At 43.1% G+C, this 19,077-nt stretch overlaps 1 annotated feature.

The window, feature by feature from the left end:
• Positions 1,766 to 1,937: a silencer, noted in NCBI's record as "fragment chr7:131749059-131749230 (GRCh37/hg19 assembly coordinates)". NCBI's record gives its function as "represses an EF-1alpha promoter that drives an FKBP-Casp9 reporter gene in an ReSE screen in phorbol 12-myristate 13-acetate-treated (for megakaryocytic differentiation) K562 erythroleukemia cells {active_cell/tissue: K562(+PMA)}" and the evidence as "EXISTENCE:reporter gene assay evidence [ECO:0000049][PMID:32094911]".

Below are 19,077 nucleotides of genomic sequence, written 5' to 3'. Positions count from 1 at the left end.
TTTCCGCTGATCCCCACAATAACCCTGAAAGGCTGGCTCTATCATTTTCCCTATTTTATGACCAAATAAACAAAGACTTATGGAAGGTAAATAACCACTCAAAACCACACCTAGTGGGCAGAAAAGCCAGGACTCCAATCCCTGTCTTCAGACTCCAGACCACAAATTCTTATCCTGATTTTATGGAGCTGATATTCTAATAGAAGGAAAAGAGAAATCAATTTGAATTGGTCTTACATGACTTCATTTTGATGCAAGGGGCAAGGCAGGGGAGGGGAAAGTGGAGGGTGAAATGAGGGAAGGAGACAGAAAGCACAGCCTGCCTGGAGAGGCCATTCCTGCCAGTGAGTCATGGGCATCCACATAGCAGAAGCGTTTAATCATCTTTCTTTCTCTGGTTCAGAGGAGAGAACAGAAATAAGAAGGCAAAGTGCCCGGAAATGAAGGAGCCAGTGGGGGAGGATGTAGAGAAGGGAGGGGCTCCCCTCCCCGAGGATGCTCAGGAGGAAACACTCATACTCAGCGATTTTGCCCAGCCTGCCCCAAGACCAAACCAAGCCTCTGGTTCCTCCACCAAAGGCAAACCTGGCCATGCCCTTCAGAGCATGCTCAGTTCCCTCAAGAGGCAGAGATGGGGAAGTTCCCAGCACTTTATTAGCGCTTGCTTTGCCAGAATTGCCTTAACATCTCTCCATGTGAGATAGTTTCCATCTCACCCAGCTGGACCAGGAGCAGGCACAGGGAAGACAAGTGAGGAAGAGGAGACAGCTCCTCTATCTTCCTCCCAGCCAAGCTAGGCCGTGACTCTGGGCAGCCAGCCTTTCTTCTTCCCCAAGCTGCAGGCAGGTGGAACCCTACAGCACTGGTGCTGAGGGCGATGACCTGAGAATTCTGGCTCTAGAAGCCCCACAGCCTCGAATGCCTTCTGATGTGTTGCTCTAATGTTGGGAGGTCAGAATGTCTTTAACCAGCCAGCCTGGGCCTCCAGAGAGGGTCTTGAGCCCCAACCTTCAACAACTACCAAAATCCTGTTTACCACCCACCTAATGAACTTCATGAACCATGGCTTCCCCTCCTGGAGTGAGCAATGGTAACAAAGCATCTTAGAGTTTGACAACAATCACAGGTAGGTTTATGCCATTTCCAGGAATCTGGCTCTACAAGGTCATTATGAAACTCAATTATTTGTCACACTAGGATGGCTGGTCCCCAATGTGTCCTGCCTCCCAGGTAGGCGGGGCCTCAGAATCCAACTGCAAATGATGGCATCACTGTTTGTCTTTGCTGGGAATAAGAGTCATTAAGAGAAGCCACCTGTACTTCTTTCTTAGGGGCTGCCATCCCCTCTGTCTGTGAAAGTCCCACCTCCACCGCCGTTCCCATTTTATAGAGACAGACATGTGTCTGATTCTGAGACTCAAGTAGAGTAGGATGATGTGCGATAGTTACTGCTATTGTAAAACAAGTGGGTAGGGGAAGTCTGGGAGAGCCTGGGAGGGCAGAGTGTCCCCAGGAGGAGAAGCCTCTGCTCCTCCTGAGTGACAGGACAGACATGACCACAGCCATGGCAGGTCTCACTCCCAACTTGATGAGCTTTCTTAGAAGGCTAAGATGAGCTTTCTTAGAAGCCTGAGATCTTGGGAATACAAACATGAAGGGATGAGGAGCAAGTGAGAAAAGAAATGGGGGAAGTGGCTGAGGATTTTCTTGTCTACTTTCCAACTTGGACAAGGAAGCTTGACCTCTGGAGGCAAATGGGGGTCTTCACTATGGCAGCGAGTGGGGCGTCTATGGGAGCACTTGACTTTGAGTCTGCAGCACCAACTGTGGCAGTCTCAGCTATGATGTCAACAGTCCACAAAGACAGGATTCTGATGACTCGCTTTTCTTCATAGAAATCATATTCAAAACCCAAGTTTTAAAGACACGGAAGAGACCTTAGAGCATTGACTCCAAAAACAAACAAAAAGTGTCCTACACAGAAAGAATCTGATACCTGTTCTAAAAATTCACACACAAGGGAACAAATGACAAGCAGAGCATTGGAAAGATCTTTCCTAGGCTGGGAGCTGGGCCACTCTGCGCCTCCCACCCGCCCACCTCTGTGGGCATGCATTGGTTTTCAGGACACGTAGGTGTAGGCAGTGCCTGCCAGCCCCCTCTCCTCCCACCCCAGGCGCTAATGAGATGCAGGGAGGGGTCTGCAGCCCGGATGGAGTGGCTTGCAATTTTTGTTGCTGTTGTTTTTGAAAATGTCTTTCTCTAGTCCTCTGCCAACAGCTTGTTAGCACATGGCTTTGGGCTCCCAAGATGGTATGATGCCCCGCCTCAGCCCCTGAGGGGGTATTCTCAGGACATGTGTCCACAGTGTCCCCAGACAGATGCTCTGGGGCCTCTCTAGCAGTCCCTATCACGTGGGCACCAAACTCCCCAGGCCCCATGTCCAGGGAGCCAGGTTTTAAAGCACAGCCCCCACCCTAAGTTCCTTTTTCCATCTGTCTTGCAAAGGTGTGAATGGATTTTACAGAGGACAAGGAAGGAGAGAAAAAGGAGAGAAATTAACTGTACCCCCTAGTATCACATCACTGTTACCACTCTCCCTGCCCAATCCCCACCCCTAACACACAAATTCTTACTCTCATACGGGCAGCCAACCACTAAGGTCAAAAGAACAAGCCAGGCAAAAGCACGCCCCCTGTGATTTGTGATGTCTAGAAAGAATCAAGAGATTGGGCTTCTGGTCCCAATTCTGTACCGAGCTAGCTGACATTAGGCCAGGTACTTCATTTCTCTGAACTTGAGAGTCCTTCTTCCCAGGGTTAGTCATCCATAGTTTTCCAGAAGAACACAATGGCTGTTGCAGGCCACCTGTAACTAAACACTCAGGCCCATCCTAGGCTATTCATTCACAGGAGGCTGGCTAGAGATGGGATTTATTATATTAATAGATGTGGGGAGCAGAGGCAGACACATAGGCTTTACAGGGATGAGATTGCTGCCCTTGGCCCACCAGCACCAAGATCAAGAGCTGCCCAACCACCGAGGTCTACCCAGCATTTGTTTCTGCTCTTTGTTTATAAAGTCCCAAAATTCATATTTCAGTGTCTCAAACAAGCTGCAATTTACTTGTCGCTTGCTTCATGGCCCACCCTCATGTCAAATCTACCTAAAGCAGCATGTTCTTTATCCAGAATCGATTTCTGGATGGCTTCAGGTCAGATCCACGTCCTCCTCCTCTGAATCCACAGCACTTGTTGTTTGAACTTCTCACTTAACATTCATCTCATGCTGCCTTATGTTGGTATTTAATTTTTTATGTTTCCTCTCAGCTAGATTGTTCTGTTTGTCACAAAGCAATGATGTGCTTTTTTCAGAATTAATGGGGAGGTTGATGGGTTTTTTTGCCTTAAGTATATTTTTTCTAATATTTGTTTTGATGCATCAGTTTTGTTTTGGTGGTACTTGCAGAGTATGCCATTCTTCATTCCTTCTACTTTCAAACTTTCTGTGTCTGTCTTGCAAAGGTGTGAATGGATTTGACAGAGGATAAGGAAGGAGGGGAAAATGAGAGGAATTAGCTGTGCCCTGATGCTACCATATCACATTCGACACACACACACACACACACACACAGACACACAAATTTGTATTTTACAGGCAGCCAGACATGTGCCAAAATATAACACAGCCAAATCACTAAGGCCAAAAGAACAAGCTCTATTTTACATGTTTCTTATAAATTGCATTTCTTATGCCTAAACTTGGAGTTTCTATCTTTAAAAAGGCAAGTTTAATCTATTCTGTTTATTATGATTGCTGATGTGTTTTGATCCATTTCTATCATCTTGTTTTGTGTTTTATAATTGTTTGAAGAGAAACTCTTTGGTGGGTTTCTCATGCTGCTTTGTCTCTTGCTGGGCATGCCAACAAGGCAAGGATCTGACTGCTCACCTGGGTCATTTCTCAGGGTTGCATTTGCACCAAAAACCCTTGCAAACTGAGGTGATGTCTCCCTTTGAGTCCTAGAGAAGGCTCACTGTCTGCTAAGAAAGAGGTGGATTTCCCAAGTTCAGTCTTCATTGGCAGCAACACAAACCCATTACACATGCAACATTCATTGCATGTGTCACGCCCGTGAAACTTAGCAAGCAAGGGGAACTGGAGCACATGTGAGGCTTATGGTGGTTGCTGTGTATATTAAAGTCCTTTGACCCAGGCATCTCATGCCTTCTGACAGCATCCATGAAACAGCAACAGGCTAATTTATTAGCTTGGAAGTAGGGTAAAATCAAACTTCAGCTTCACAGACTCAACAATAATGACCATGGTTGTTTTCTCCTTATTTCCTCATATCATGCCTCTGATGATCAGAGTGATTCTTTATTTTCAGCCTCTCCTATTTTAAAAGTGTTGCATCATATTTCTTTTATTTTAATGGTTAACACTAAATTAAGCACATCTGACTCTAAAAAGTTTGAAATTAATTAATATCTCCATCCCTTTTCCAGACAAGAAAACTGCTTCCCCATTCCCCACCCTCATGCTCATCTTCCATGTTACTTATTATTATTCAACATTTTAACGTTGCTTTTAATGTACTTTTGTTGTTCTTGTTATTGTTACAGTCACTGCATATTTAGATTTATCAAAAGGTTCATCTTTTCACTGTTATGCTTCTCATAATTGCTTCTGACATTCTACACCTTCCACCCAGTGCAGTGTCCACCTCACCAAAATGTATTCTCTAGTCAGTCTTTCAACTAGTAAGAGCTGTAAGTAATAAATTCCCTTGGAATATGTTTGTATTAAAATCCTTTTCTCCTCATTTTTAAATAAGTATTGATTTAGAATTCAAATTTTAAGGTGTTAGTTGTTGTCCTACAGCAATTTGAAGGTGTATTTCCTACCATTATATATTTTTCCTGATGATAAATTTGCTTTTAGTTGAATTGTCATTCCTTTGAGGTAATCTGACTTTTATCTGTGGAACTTTTTACAACTTTTTTCCTGCAGTGTATCTACAAAATGCCTAGGTGTGCGTTTACTTTTACTTCTTCTTGGAAGCTGATATTTTTCCATTTAAAAATTTAAATGTCTAATTCTAGAAAGCTCTCAGCCAATATCTTTTCAAATTTTGCCCCTTTAATATATACTCTGTTATCTTCTCCTGGTACTTGATTAGACATATTTTGACCTTAGTATTTTAAGCATATATTTGTGAAGCTCTCTTTCATATTTTCTATTCCAATTTCTGAGTGACAGTATCAATATATCTTAATTTTGTCTTTGACCATGTCCAATATACTACTTTACACATACAACAATTTTTTGTAATATCATTTTTATTTCTAGCAGTATTTGCCTAAATTTCCAAATTCATTTCTGTGTTATTCCGCCCTTTGTCATTCTTATTCATGCTTTTAAATTTTTAAACATTTTAAAAATAGTTTAATTATAATCTGTCTAGGATTGTTTTATTTTCCCTAGATCTTGGAATGCTAATTATCCTATTTGCTGCTGCTTCTAAGTGTCTCTCATCATACCTTGTATTTGTCATAGTTTCTAATTTTTACTGGGAGTTCTTCAGTGAAGTTAATTTCCTTTGAGAAACTTATTTCCTCTCTATGAATGGTGGCGACATCTTTCTTTATAAGACTTTTTTTTCGCCTCGCTAACACCCCACTAGTTTTACCAGTTCTGGACCAGTATGTTAGTTTCTAGGCATTACCTATGTAGTATGAATTTGTGCAGGTAGTGCAGGCTTAGATTTCAAATTTCTGCTATATGACTCTTTCCCACCCAAGGCCTACATGGACAGCAAACTTTCTTGAAATTTCCCCAAACAGATTTGCTGAGCTTTTTTAATCCCCTCAGAGGCTCCCAACTATGCCAAGTGTGCATTTATCCCTGCCTCTCAACTAACCTAGATTTGAGGGCTTAAGTTCTGTCCTTGGGTGGACATGAACATCCCAATAAGAGAAATTCAGCCTGTGTCTGAGTGCGAAACCCTCTTTAGGCTGTTATGGTCTCGGCTCCCACCAACACCCGGGCTTGAGTTCCTGCTTCATCACTGATGCTGGGACATTCTCTCTCTTTCCTCAGAGCTCTGTGTGTCCTTGAATTTAGTTTTGTTATATTGCATGCAGATTTATATACATTTGGATGGAAGGAACATTTTTCCATATCCATGCAGTCTGCCATATTGAACTGGAAGTCCTCAAATTGTAAACTAAGGACAGGAACCATGTCTCATTCTCATGCTTCATGTAGTGTATGCCTGCACTCTAGAGCCTGGCCCAGAGTCATACACAAAATCGGAGCTCAAAAAGAGTCGGCCACGATCCCAGGGTCTTGACGTAAGGGCTTTGTTAACTAGACCGTGGTACAACAACGCAGTGGAATGGGGTGCAGCTATTTTAAAAGATATTGTGGGAAATTTGTAAATTATACAGAGAAATGTCAATATCACTTTTAAGTGTAAAAGACAGGTTAGAAAATAGTATGCACTGTCCTATTATATAGAAAACAGACTAGAAGAAAAATACACTAAAATGTTAAAACCATTAAATCGCTGAAAAGGAAAGTATGGGCCATTCTTATTTTCTTGTTTTGATTTGTATTTCCTAGAGCTAACATTATTTCTTGTATAATATATGTGATGAATATAAAGTTCACCACAACACTCAGGGTGCAAGTCCTGTGTCCCGAGTGTCCTATGACACTCAAGGTGACACATCTCTTTTGATATTTGTATTAGTCCATCTTCACACTGCTGATAAAGACATACCTAGACTGGGCAGTTTACAAAGAAAAGAGGTTTAAAGGAGAACTCATAGTTTCATGTGGTTGGGGAAGCCCCACAATCGTGGTGGAAGGTGAAAGGCATGTCTCATATGGCAGCAGACGAGAAGAGAGCTTGTGCAGGAAAAGTTCCCCTTATAATAACTGTCAGATCTCATGGGACTTACTCACTATCATGAGAACTGCATGAGAAAGACCTGCCCTCATGATTCAATTACCTCCCACTGGGTCCCTCCCACAACACGTGGGAATTCAAGATGAGATTTGGGTGGGAACACAGTCAAATCATATCATTCCACTCCAGCCCCTCCCAAATCTCATGTCCTCACATTTCAAAATCAATCATGCCTTCCCAACAGTCCCCCAAAGCCGTAAGTCATTTCAGCATTAACTCACAAGTCCATAGTCCAAAGTCTGATCCAAGACAAGGCAAGTCCCTTCTGCCTATAAGCCTATAAAATCAAAAGCAAGTTAGATACTTCCTAGATACAATGGGGGTACAGGCATTGGAAAAATATAGCCATTCCAAATAGGAGAAATTGGCCAAAACAAAGGGTCTACAGGCCCCACGCAAATCCAAAATCCAGCAGGGCAGTCAAATCTTAAAGCTCCAAAATGATCCCCTTTGACTCTATGTCTCACATCCAAGTCATGCTGATGCAAGAGGTGGGTTCCCATGGTCTTGGTTAGCTCCTCCCCTGTGGCTTTGCAGGGTAAATCCTCCCTTCTCGCTGGTTTTGTGAGCTGGCATTGACTGTCTGCATCTTTTCCAGGTGCATGGTGCAAGCTTTGGTGGATCTATCATTCTTGGGCCTGGAGGATGGTGGCCCTCTTCTCACAGCTCCACTAGGCAGTGTCCCAGTAGGAGCTCTGTGTGAGGTCTCCAACCCCTCATTTCCCTTCCACACTGCCCTAGCAGTTTCTGCATGAGGACCCCACCCCTGCAGCAAACTTCTGCCTGGGCATCCAGGTGTTTCCATACATCTTCTGAAATCTAGGCGGAGATTCCCAAACCTCAATTCTTGAGTTCTGTGCACTTGCTGGCTTCACCACCATGTGGAAGTTGCCAAGGCTTGAGGATTGCACCCTCTGAAACCACGTCTGAGCTCTACATTGGCCGCTTTCAGCCATGGCTGGAGTGGCTGGGACGCAAGGCACCAAGTCCCTAGGCTGTACACAGCACGGGGACCCTGGGCCCAGCCCACAAAACCACTTTTTTCTCCTAGGCCTCCAGGCCTATGATGGGAGGGGCTGCTGTGAAGACCCCTGATATATTCTGGAGTAATTTTCCCCATTGTCTTGGGGATTAACATTTGGCTCCTCATTACTTATGCAAATTTCTGCAGCCGGCTTGACTTTCTCCTCAGAAAATGGGATTTTCTTTTCTACTGCATTGTCAGGCTACAAATTTTCCTAACTTTTATGTTCTGCTTATAAAACTGAAAGCCTTTAACAGCACTCAAGTCACCTCTTGAATGCTTTGCTGCTTAGAAATTTCTTCTGCCAGATACCCTAAATCATCTCTCTCGAGTTCAAAGTTCCACAGATCTCCAGGGCAGGGGCAAAAATGCTGCCAGTCTCTTTGCTAAAATATAATGAGAGACACCTCTGCTCCCGTTCCCAACAAGTTCCTCATTTCCGTCTGAGACCGCTTCAGCCTGGACTTTATTGTCCATTTCACTATCAGCATTTTGGGCAAAGCCATTCAACAAGTCTCTAGGATGTTCCGAACTTTCCCAATTTTCCCTGTCTTCTTCTGAGCTCTCCAAACTGTTCCGACCCCCACCTGTTACCCAGTTCCAAAGTTGTTTCCACATTTTTGGGTATCTTTCCAGCAGCACCCACTCTACTGGTACCAATTTACTGTATTAGTCTGTTTTCACACTGCTGATAAAGACATACCTGAGACTGGGCAATTTACAAAGGAAAGAAGTTCAATGGAGAACTCACAGTTCCACATGGCTGGGGAAGTCTCACAATCATGGCAGAAGGTGAAAGGCACATCTCACATGGTGGCAGACAAGAGAAGAGAGCTTGTACAGGAAAACATTCCCTTTTAATAACCATCAGATCCCATGAGATTTACTCACTATGATGAGAATAGCACAGGAAAGATCCGCCCCTGTGATTGAATTACCTCCCACCAGGTCCCTCCCACAACATGTGGGAATTTCAAGATGTGATTTGGGTAGGGACGCAGCCAAACCATATCAATATTCCAAGTAAGTTAAAACTTGGTAAAATCCCAAATGCCAAATAAGCAGAAAATCTATGATGCTCTTTCGATTTTCTTCCTTCTCAGAAACTTGGTGGGCTTACACTATCTCAAAGGAACATCCATTTGACATCCACACCCAGATGGAAATGTTACTGCTTTCTGAGTAGTCTGAAGCTGCCCCACTTCTCTTCGTATTCCAAGAATGCTCTTCAGCACTGGGCCTGCCCGGGCTGGCAGTTGCCCATGGGTCCCTTGTCATGGTGCCTGCTTGATCCATGTTCTCACAGTAGCCATCAAGGGAGTATGATCCGAGGGCACTCCCTGCCTAGAATCCCTCTTCAGTTTCCACCCCCACCCTAGTTATAGCCCTACATGCTCTTGGGGCCCAAGTGCTGTGCCATGCTGCTGGGTCTAATGGGATTCTGGCATCAGCCACACACTATACACAAGCCTTCCCCTCCACTGCTCTGGGCTCTTCCTCATTAGTCTATGTTCCTTTTTTCCTCTAGTCTATTTCTGGACCCTCGTTACCCTTACTGACACCAGGACTTGATGGGAAACTCTCTATTCTATTCTTGACAGGCCTTTCTGGCTTTGAATTTCAGGAAGTAGGGATTGGGGTGTCTGTCCTCCCTACCCAGAAGGTCCTCTGTGCTTCTTTGGAAAACCAAGTCAAGTTCATCAGTGACTAGCTTTTCCAATTCCAGTAAAGGCATATTTGCTTGGGTTGTAAGAGGTATTTTTATACCCTGACTACATAAAAGTGGCTTTCTACCATCTATAAAATTGCCCAATTTAGAGGGTAACTCAGGTAGCCCTATGCTAGGCTAAGAAAGACAGCATTTCTCATATGTATATATACCCCCTATATATAAGAGCCATACCTAGGAGAGAAGCCAGGTGGTGTTGAGGTGTGGCCCAGCCTCCAGCATCACCTGCCTGGTCAATGAAGGATTGGTAGTTTAGATTCTCCCTGCAGCAATGTCCTTCTTTGCCTAGCTCCACTTTTGGCTGTTTTTGTTTCCTGAAGCATCCTCCAAGCAGAGATCAATTAAAAGTAGGGGCAAGGAACACAGGAGGGATTGGGGAAGGAGGTCTGTAGAAGGCCCTGGAGCCCTTTTGTCTTTTTCTCCACCTCTCTCCATTCCCCTTCCACCCCCAACTCTTGTGAAGTCAGGGAGGGGCAGCCATGGAGCAGGTGGCCCTGGCTGGTGCCTGGGTTGGTGGCAGGTTGGGTGGGAGGATGCTTGTCAGCATATGGGCCAAGGGAACACATGGCCCCGAGTTCCTGGGGACAGGAGGGGAACAGGCAGGAGCAGATGAACTGCTAAGCAACAGGGTTGGTGGTTTCAGCCAGAGAACTTTCCAACGATAAGAAATAAGGGACAGCAGCCAGTCGGGGAGCTGGGGAAGGGAGGCTGAGGGACTCGGTTGCCCATCTCTGCACAATGATATCTGTGTTTATTTTCTTTTAAAAGTAAAATGTTATTCTCTCAGGAAGCTTTTGCTTTTCCCAACTTGCAGAGATGAAAACAATAGGAAACCATCAATACAGTCTCCCCCCTCTCTAGAGGATGCACTCACGAAGCTCCTCACGCTCACGTTTAAATTATTTCTCAGCTACAGGAGGCACAATGGCTGAACTTCAACATGGGATCAACATACCGAAATGGAGCTGCTGCCAAATTTTAAAAATAGCACAGAAGGAAACATATACCAGAGGGCCAACAGCGGTTGCTTCTGGGTGTTAGGATTATGGATGATTTTTTTTCCTTCTTTATATTTTTCTGTACTTTTCATGTTTTTAACATGTGCAGATATTGTCTGATTTTTAAAAGCTAGTTAAAAACATAGACAAGTGCAACACACTTTCATAAAAGAACAAAGCATACAGACTGGTATGCCCAGAACCTATCATGTGGCAGAATCTAGGGTAGATCTTTATGTCTGTTGTTTGATTTGGCATCAAACATCCTGTGAGATAGGTTGTATCCCTTGTACAGATGAAGAAACTGAGTCCCAGGGAAGTTAATGAGCTTATCCAAGATGACATAAGTGGAAACTGGCAAAGTGAGATCTCAACCCAGGTACGTCTGCCACCAGGCTGTGTACTGGGGTGACAGATAGTGTCCATGTATCTCTCACGGCTGGGTTGCTTCTTCTTGTATAGCTAAGTTCATATTGAAAGGGCCAGGCTAAAGAATCATATTGAAAGGGCCAGGCTAAAGAGACACAGGGAAAAGCTCACTTCTGAATATCAACAAGGCAATGCTTACAATAGTTCAGACATCTGCTGCTGTTGTCTGAACTATTGATGATGAACATCACTCAGACACAAAGCTGAATTTTTCACACTGGTTAATTAGCTGGTAACTAATGTTCCATTAGTTCAGGAACTCAATGTATCATCAAAATTGTGTTGCATTGTACATTTTAGCTTTTCCTCAAACATAGAGATAAGGATAGTGGGTATAACAGTAATAGACTCTTGAATGAGGGATATTATAGGAACAGATACTAGCTGGTCCTTACATTGGAGCGAACCCCTACAGAACATGCATGTTGCCTCCTCTCCAGCACACACTGGGGAGAAGAGTTGGTAAGGAGACAAGCTCAAGGAGTCCTTTTCCATTTAGATTCCTTCATCTCACCACTGTTACTCTTCACTGTTCCACACCATTTTCCCTGTTAATTTGGGGGTCTTTAGCCTGTGTTCTCTGGTCCATAGATAGGGCTTTAGGGATTCCGTGAACCCACTGAAATGTATGCCACCATCATATTTGTGCATGTTGGTGTGTGTAAGTGTGTGTGGAGGGGATCCGCAGCTTTCACCAAATTCTCAGAAATGTGGAGAATCCCTACTATAACACATATTCCTTCTCCTCGTCCTGGTCTGTGCCTATTCCCACCTCTCCTGCCTGCTCTTCCTCTCCTTCATCACTCCCCACCCCTTCCTCATTCTATCTCTTTGCCTCCTCTTCCCCTGAATACTGCTTTCCTTCCCTGCCTCCCTCCCCTCTTCTTCCCCCTCCTCTCACTGGAATTCCTCTCCCCTTTGCCACCCCTGTCTGTGGTCTCCAGTCAGCCTGACCTTCACTTCAACATTCAGCAAGTTTCAGGCCCTGCCAGGCAATCTCTGGCCAGACATGGGAACCACAAGCACCATCATCAGACAGCCTGGTAATTTTCTTATTGTTTATTCTCAAGAAGGCAATTTGGCTGCAGCTGAGCTGCAGAGGTCCTGGAGCCTGGTCACAGTCTCACATGTCAGCAGAAGGAATGAAGAGGTCGCCAAGAAGAGCAGCCAGGAGCCTGTTGCACCCGCTTGGCACCCACTCCTTGCTCTCTTATGCAGCCCACTGGCTTCTTGCCCCTTTGGGGGAGCAGTCAGTTGTTATAAGCCCCATCCCACTCCCACCCATGAAAGAGATGGGCTCAAACTGGAAAGCTTTTAGGATCTGCATAAGGCATTACCTAGAACAAGGCAGGACAGGCTCTAGATCATTTTTCATGGGGTACAATAACTAGACAGTGATTTCATGTTGTCAAGTCACTCTAACAGCTTTATGGCTTCAAACATACCTAAAGACCCATCCATCCCACTCCACCCTACCTAGGTCCCAGCCCAAACTAGAAGAAAGCAAAAGGAGAGCAGGCAATGGTGGCTAACACTTGTTCAGATCATTTCAACCAATATTCCTTGGATGCCTACTGGGTGTTGGGTGCTGGGGCAATCCAGTAATGAATAAACAAATATCTGCATTGAACACATTTCCTCTCTAGTGGGAAGAAGTGATGTTAGTAGATTTTCATGCTGCTAATAAAGACATATCCAAGACTGGGTAATTCGTACAGGAAAGAGGTTTAATGGACTCACAGTTCCACATGGCTGGGGAGGCCTTACAATCATGGCAGAAGGCAAGGGGGAGCAAGTAATGTCTTACATGGATGGCAGTGGGCAAAGAGAGAACTTGTGGAGGGAAACTCTCCCTTATAAAAACCATCAGATCTTGAGAGTTATTCACTATTATGAGAACAGCATGGGGAAGACCCTTCCCCATGATTCAATTACCTCTTATCAGTTTCCTCCCACAATTCAAGATGAGATTTGTGTGGGAACGCAGCCAAACCATATCAAGTGGCTAATGCTGCATGTTTAAGGAAGAGTCAGGAGACAAGAGCAACTGACAAAAAGAGGGCAAAGGATGGATGGTGGGAAGCGAAACCAGGAGTTCGTGGGACTGGACCCTGCAGAGCCATATGGACCTTGGATAAACTCATAGGGTCCACTCCTGCTGATATGCCCACAGTTCAGCATGGGTGCCTCCACCCTACACTTTGACAATCTTTCAACACAAACAACCTCCAACTAGAAAGTTCTGCTTCTCTTAGTTTAAAGTACCAAGAGAGAAGTCTAGCTGCTGAGCCTAGCTGGTGGCCAGGCTTCACCAAATCAGGCTCAGTTCCTCTGAGTAGGGGTTTGGTGTGGACTGGCCACCCCCTCCTTGTTCTGGGCTCTGACTGATCAGGCAGTGACAGACATCCTATGAGAGGAAACTCTGAATGGGGCCTGGACTACTAATGGGATCCAAGCAGTCAATTCAGGGACAGAATGAGAGAATCTCCCATTTCTCTCCCTCAATGGGAGAAAGTATCTCCCTCTGTTTCCCATTCTGCTATAATCCCCTGATGTCACTTGTTGGAAAGGACATTGGAAAGGGGCAGAAAGTCCTTTGTACATTGTTTGTGGGCAGTTTGATCCTAATGAAGGATGATAATAGGCAGGGGTAGTGGGTGGAATCTGCATTTGTCAATTTGCTTGAAAGTACAAGGATGATAACACCTTCAGATGGATATGAAAGATTCAGAATCCTGATTTGCTGAATCTCCCCCACTCCCTCCCCAAAGAAACCTCAGTAACAAAAAGCAAACTCTTTTCTGCTTCTGATTATGGGGTCTCTAAAAGCCCTCGTCTCTGAGTTTCCCTGTGACACACAATGATTTTCTAAGCATCCAGGAAAAGCTTTCGTGAACCCTGGTATTGAGTTCTGATCCTAATTTTCTCCACTGAGAAATGGCACAGCCTCCTGCCACTTATACTATGCCATCTGACCCTCAGAAGCCTTTGCAGGCCAAAAACAAGAGACAGCCCTCCAGCACAGGGGAGTGGGTTCATGCAGGTCATGCACCAGGCTAAGTCACTCCTGCTGCTCCTGGGCCTGGGACCAGGAAGGGCATCCTTATCCTGGGCCCCTGCAGAGATCACAGAGAGAAAGTCTGTGTAGATCAGCACCAGGACAATTGCCACCGTCTGTCCTCTTGCCTCCCTGGAGCCCCTCACAGCCACGCTGTCCTTGATCTCCCTCCAGCAGTCCATGCCCTTATGTCCAGAGCCAGAAAATCCATCACTTGCTGCTCGTCTTTACCAAATCTTAATTTCCAAGTGTCAGGAAATTTCACTTTCTCTATGATGGAGTTCACGTCTCATTTTGTGAAGGGAACTGGACTCAAATGTCAGAAATAGTATTCTTCTTTTTTTAATACAACAGCCAGGGTCTGTTTCTGCTTTCGTCCTTTGGCAAGAATGGAGCCTGGATGAATAATGGTGGGAATGAAGGGAAATAGGCAGCAGCCTGGCTCTGTCCCACTGTCAGATTTAAATACTAGCTGTGCTGCCCAGCTCTTCCCACCCATCTGGGCCTGGACCTGCCCCACTGTGCTCTTCTTGTTTACATCTTAGGGTCAAGCCGAGCGATCAGAACTCCAGCTGCTGAAAAGAGCAAAGCCACAGAATAAGGAGCTGAAGCTGGCAGATGCCCATAGGACAGGAGGGGTCAGCTGAGCATGGTGGTGCATGCCTGTAGTCTCAGCTACTAAGGAAACTGAAGTGAAAGGATTGGTTGAGCCCAGGAGATTGAGGCTGCAGTGAGCTATGATGGCACCACTGCACTCCAGCCTGGGTGACAGAGAAAGACCTTGTCTTTGAGGAAAAAAATTAAAAATTGAAGATTGAAGCGTATGAGGTTTTACCCTCCCTGCAAGCTAACCAGTTAACCTGCCACAATTTCATGGGTGCTAGCAGAAGACTCAAGGTATTCTAGGTGAGGGACAAAGGTCTCTCTTATTAATAGCAATAGCCAGGATGTCACCATTTGCACCAGGTCCCCAAGGCTCAATTTCCACAGGAATAAAGAGGGCTATGTGACACCCACACAATCAGTGGATTGAGTCACAGAAGAAAGCCCTGACAACTGGGAAACTCGAATCAATTTCTATCGGGCAATTATTAGCCGATTGTAATCCATTCTAAACCTGCCTGACCTTTGTCCTAGAGGGAGACATAATCGTTATACTGGACAGTAAATCAGCCTCCCCCTTTGCAGTGCAAAGAAAAACTATATCTTCCAAAGGTGTTTCCTATATAAAAATCACTCAAAAGATATTTCAGAACAAAAGTAATCAGTACCTCTGCGCACAAGATGTACAGAAAAACAAGACATCAGATGAGAACCATCTCCCAATAATGGTTACACAGTGCATGGCTTCAGTGAAAACTTCTACTACCAGTAATGTCAATAAGTAATTTTGGGGAACTGACAGTATGAGCAGACAGAAGGTAAAATATCACTGGGCTGGGTATATGAATATAAAAATCAAACATACGCTTATAGGTGCAGTGGTTCCCCTTGGTGTCTATAACCAGACAATACAGTAACAATTATGCTCACCAGGAAGGATAGGTCAGATAAACCTTTCAAGCGTTGCATTTGATCATAGAGCATCTACACTATATCACTTGATATGGCCCCACGGACCACTGGGGCTGTATTGATTTTTTTCCAATATCTTTTCTCTTCATTCTTCAGATTACATCATTTCTGTTTATTTATCTTCAAGTTCAATAACTTTTTCTTTTCTCATTCCAATCGACTGCTAAGCCCATCCAGTGAATTCTCTAAATCAGATCTTCTTTTTTAGTTCTAGCATTTCTATTTTGTTCTTTTTTTTTTTCCTTTTTCATTTCTCTGCAGCAATTCCTCATCTGTTCATTAGAATCATATTTGACTTCAAGTTCTTACACATTTTGCATTTACTGTGTTGGGTTATTTCTCTATGGACTTCTTTTTCTCTTGGCTGTGGGTTATATTTTCCTGTTTCTTCCATGTCTGATAGTTTTTTATTCTGTGCCGGGCATTGAGAGTGATACGTTGCAGAATCTTGGATTCTTCTTTCTCTGAAGAGTGTTATTTTCATTCCAGCAGTGACTTCAATTGACTGGACTCAAACTCCAAATCCTGTCTCTCCTGCAGGGGGCAGCACCAGAAATCTCTGCTCAGTTCTTTCAACCTTCCAGTTGCACTTTTTGCTGGGGTCCTTGGTGCCAAATTCAGGGGTCCTCCAAGAATTTGGTCAAAGTTTATATGTAGATTTTGGGGCTCCTTCTTCTCTGGACCCCTTCTCTGAGATTTCCACCATGACTTTGTAGTTGTTCTGGCTACCGTGAACTCTGTCTCCTGATGCTGCAAGCGGTGCTTCTCAGCTTCTGCCAGGACTCCAGCTCTATGTCAGGTTGAGTGCCTGGGAGTGGCCTAGGGACTAAGCCATAAACGTGAATCTCTCCCTGCACAGTTCCCTACTTTCAAGAGTCAATTCCCCTCTAACCATGCCTGTCTTTGATCCTTCTCCAGCTCCTTCAAATTGTTGTTTTTTTAATATTTTAACTCGTACACGAGTTAGTCTACTAAAAGCGGTTTTACCACTACAGGGAAGTGGAATCATTCCTTATAGTGCTTTCGAATCCATTTCTTTCTACACTGTACTGTTAAAATGCTATACATTATTCCATCATATTGGCCATTATATCAAACAAAACTTATGTAACACTTAACTATTGGTAGACATTTAAGATGTTTCCAGCTTTTGATATAATAAAATTTGTGGTTTCCAGAGTCAGGAGTTTCCACTGCAGGAATTACACAAGATAATTCCTTTTGTTTGCTGGGAAACATACATATTAGTATGTCTTTTTGTTTCTACTTAACTCAACTTTTAACATATCTATTTCATATGTTTACAAGTTCTATATTATTATGATGCTACGCGTAAGTAATTTATTAAAAATATATAGATAGATTAGCGTACATGCTTAATTTTACTTAGTTGTTTTTTACTGATAGGGATATATGACTTTAAAGTCTGGAGGGTACTATTATGAATAATGCTTTAATGAGTATATATATATTTGGCATAATACTTATTATTTACTCAAGAAATTTACTCAGAAGTAGAATTGCTAGATCAAAATATGCGCATATTTTTAAAATTTCTGATTCATAGCATCAATATTTCAACTAATTCTCCAGAAGGGCTGTACCAATGCACCCTCAAAGCTGCAGAATGTGAGCGTATACTCTCACATCCATAATCTGCTAACACTGACTATAGTTAGTGGAGTTTTTAATCCCATATTTAAAAGTTTTATAGATGAATAACAATATTTTGGTTTAATGAGAATATCCTCCTCTACGCATGGAGTTGAACATTTTTCATATAGTAACCATGTTAAATTTCCTTTTAAATTGCCTGTTTATTTCCTTTGCTTTGTTCTATTAAAATAATTCATCTTTTATTTAAAAATTAATTTAGGAGCTCTTTCTATAGTAAATATATTCATCTTTTGTTTGATACGAACGTTACAAAAATGTTTTTCAGCTTATTATTTGCCTCTTTATTTGCTGATATTTTCACATACACAATGCATTAATGTCATCAAATTTATCTTTTTCTTCATGGTTGATGCCTTTTGAATTATACTTACATAGTCATGCTACACCCTAAGATTATGTAACTATAACAATTTTTCTTTTAGGATATTTACATTGAAATCTTTAATTCATCTAGAATTTATCATGATAAATTATCCAAGATAGAACTCTTATCACATACTAGAATCATATATATATATATATATATATATATATATATATATATTTGGGACTATTTCTGGGTGTTTATTGAAATTCATTGATCTGTCCAACTAATATGTTACTATTGCAATCCTCTAATTTTTATAATTGAATAATACATTCTAATGTGGGACATTACATTTCAAGAACATTGACAAACCAGAAAGCACTCAAAAGTGGAGCTAGAAAACCACTTCATGTAATAAATATTTTTAAAACTAAGAATGTTTAACTTTGAGAAGAGAGGACTCAATTCTTGTCAAAAGTAGGAATTCAATAAGTAACCTAAAGGGATATATCACAGCTATTTTTCAAATAGTTAAAGTTCTGTTATATGGATTGGAATAGATCTGAGTGACTCTAGAGGATACAACTAGGGAAAATGGGTGGAAATTACTAGAGGAAAATTGTGGCTTATTAAAGAGCTTTTCTAACGACTACAGTTGTTTAGCAAGAAAACAGGCTGTCTTGAAGGAGGGTGGGGGGTAGGAGCAGGCTTCTCTTTGCTGGAAAATTTAAAAAAACAGGTAACTAATTTTTCAAGGATGCAGTGAAGAGGACATGTGCAACAAGTAACGAACTAGGCTACTTGAGGGACATTCGAACACTAAAATCCTGGCACCTATGATCTTGCTGTCCTAAAAAATCAATGTCATAACTTCATTGACATCAAACCCTAGCCAGTGAAGAGTCAGTATTGAGAGGTCCCTAAGGCAAAATAGCAGAGTCATTGATTTCTGAAGCTGTAGAAGCTGTGGTTCACTTTTCCTTTGCCTATGAGCTAGTGAGTGCAGGGCTACAGCTGGAACGCAGGATATAAAGAAATAGAAATTTAATGGGTGCCCACACAGCCCTCATTTTTGCTAAACCTTTTAGGTGTGACTCAGGGTGCCCTGTGGCACAAGGATATATTTCCCCTAACCAACAAGAAAAAAAGTGGTCCAGGATCCTGTGTCTCATTTTCATTCTGCTTCTGCAGACACCAAAGCACTGAGCAAAGATATGCTCTGTCCCCTATTCACCACCATAGGGTATGGAGAAGAGAATTTTCCTTTAATGCCTCAGTAAAATATTCCAAGGTCCTGAGGGCTA

Source organism: Homo sapiens, chromosome 7 (genome assembly GCF_000001405.40).
Source record: "Homo sapiens chromosome 7, GRCh38.p14 Primary Assembly".
In the NCBI taxonomy this organism is placed as follows: Eukaryota; Metazoa; Chordata; class Mammalia; order Primates; family Hominidae; genus Homo; species Homo sapiens.
The sequence above is the reverse complement of the archived record's forward strand: the minus strand, read 5'-3'. Positions and strand labels throughout refer to the sequence as shown.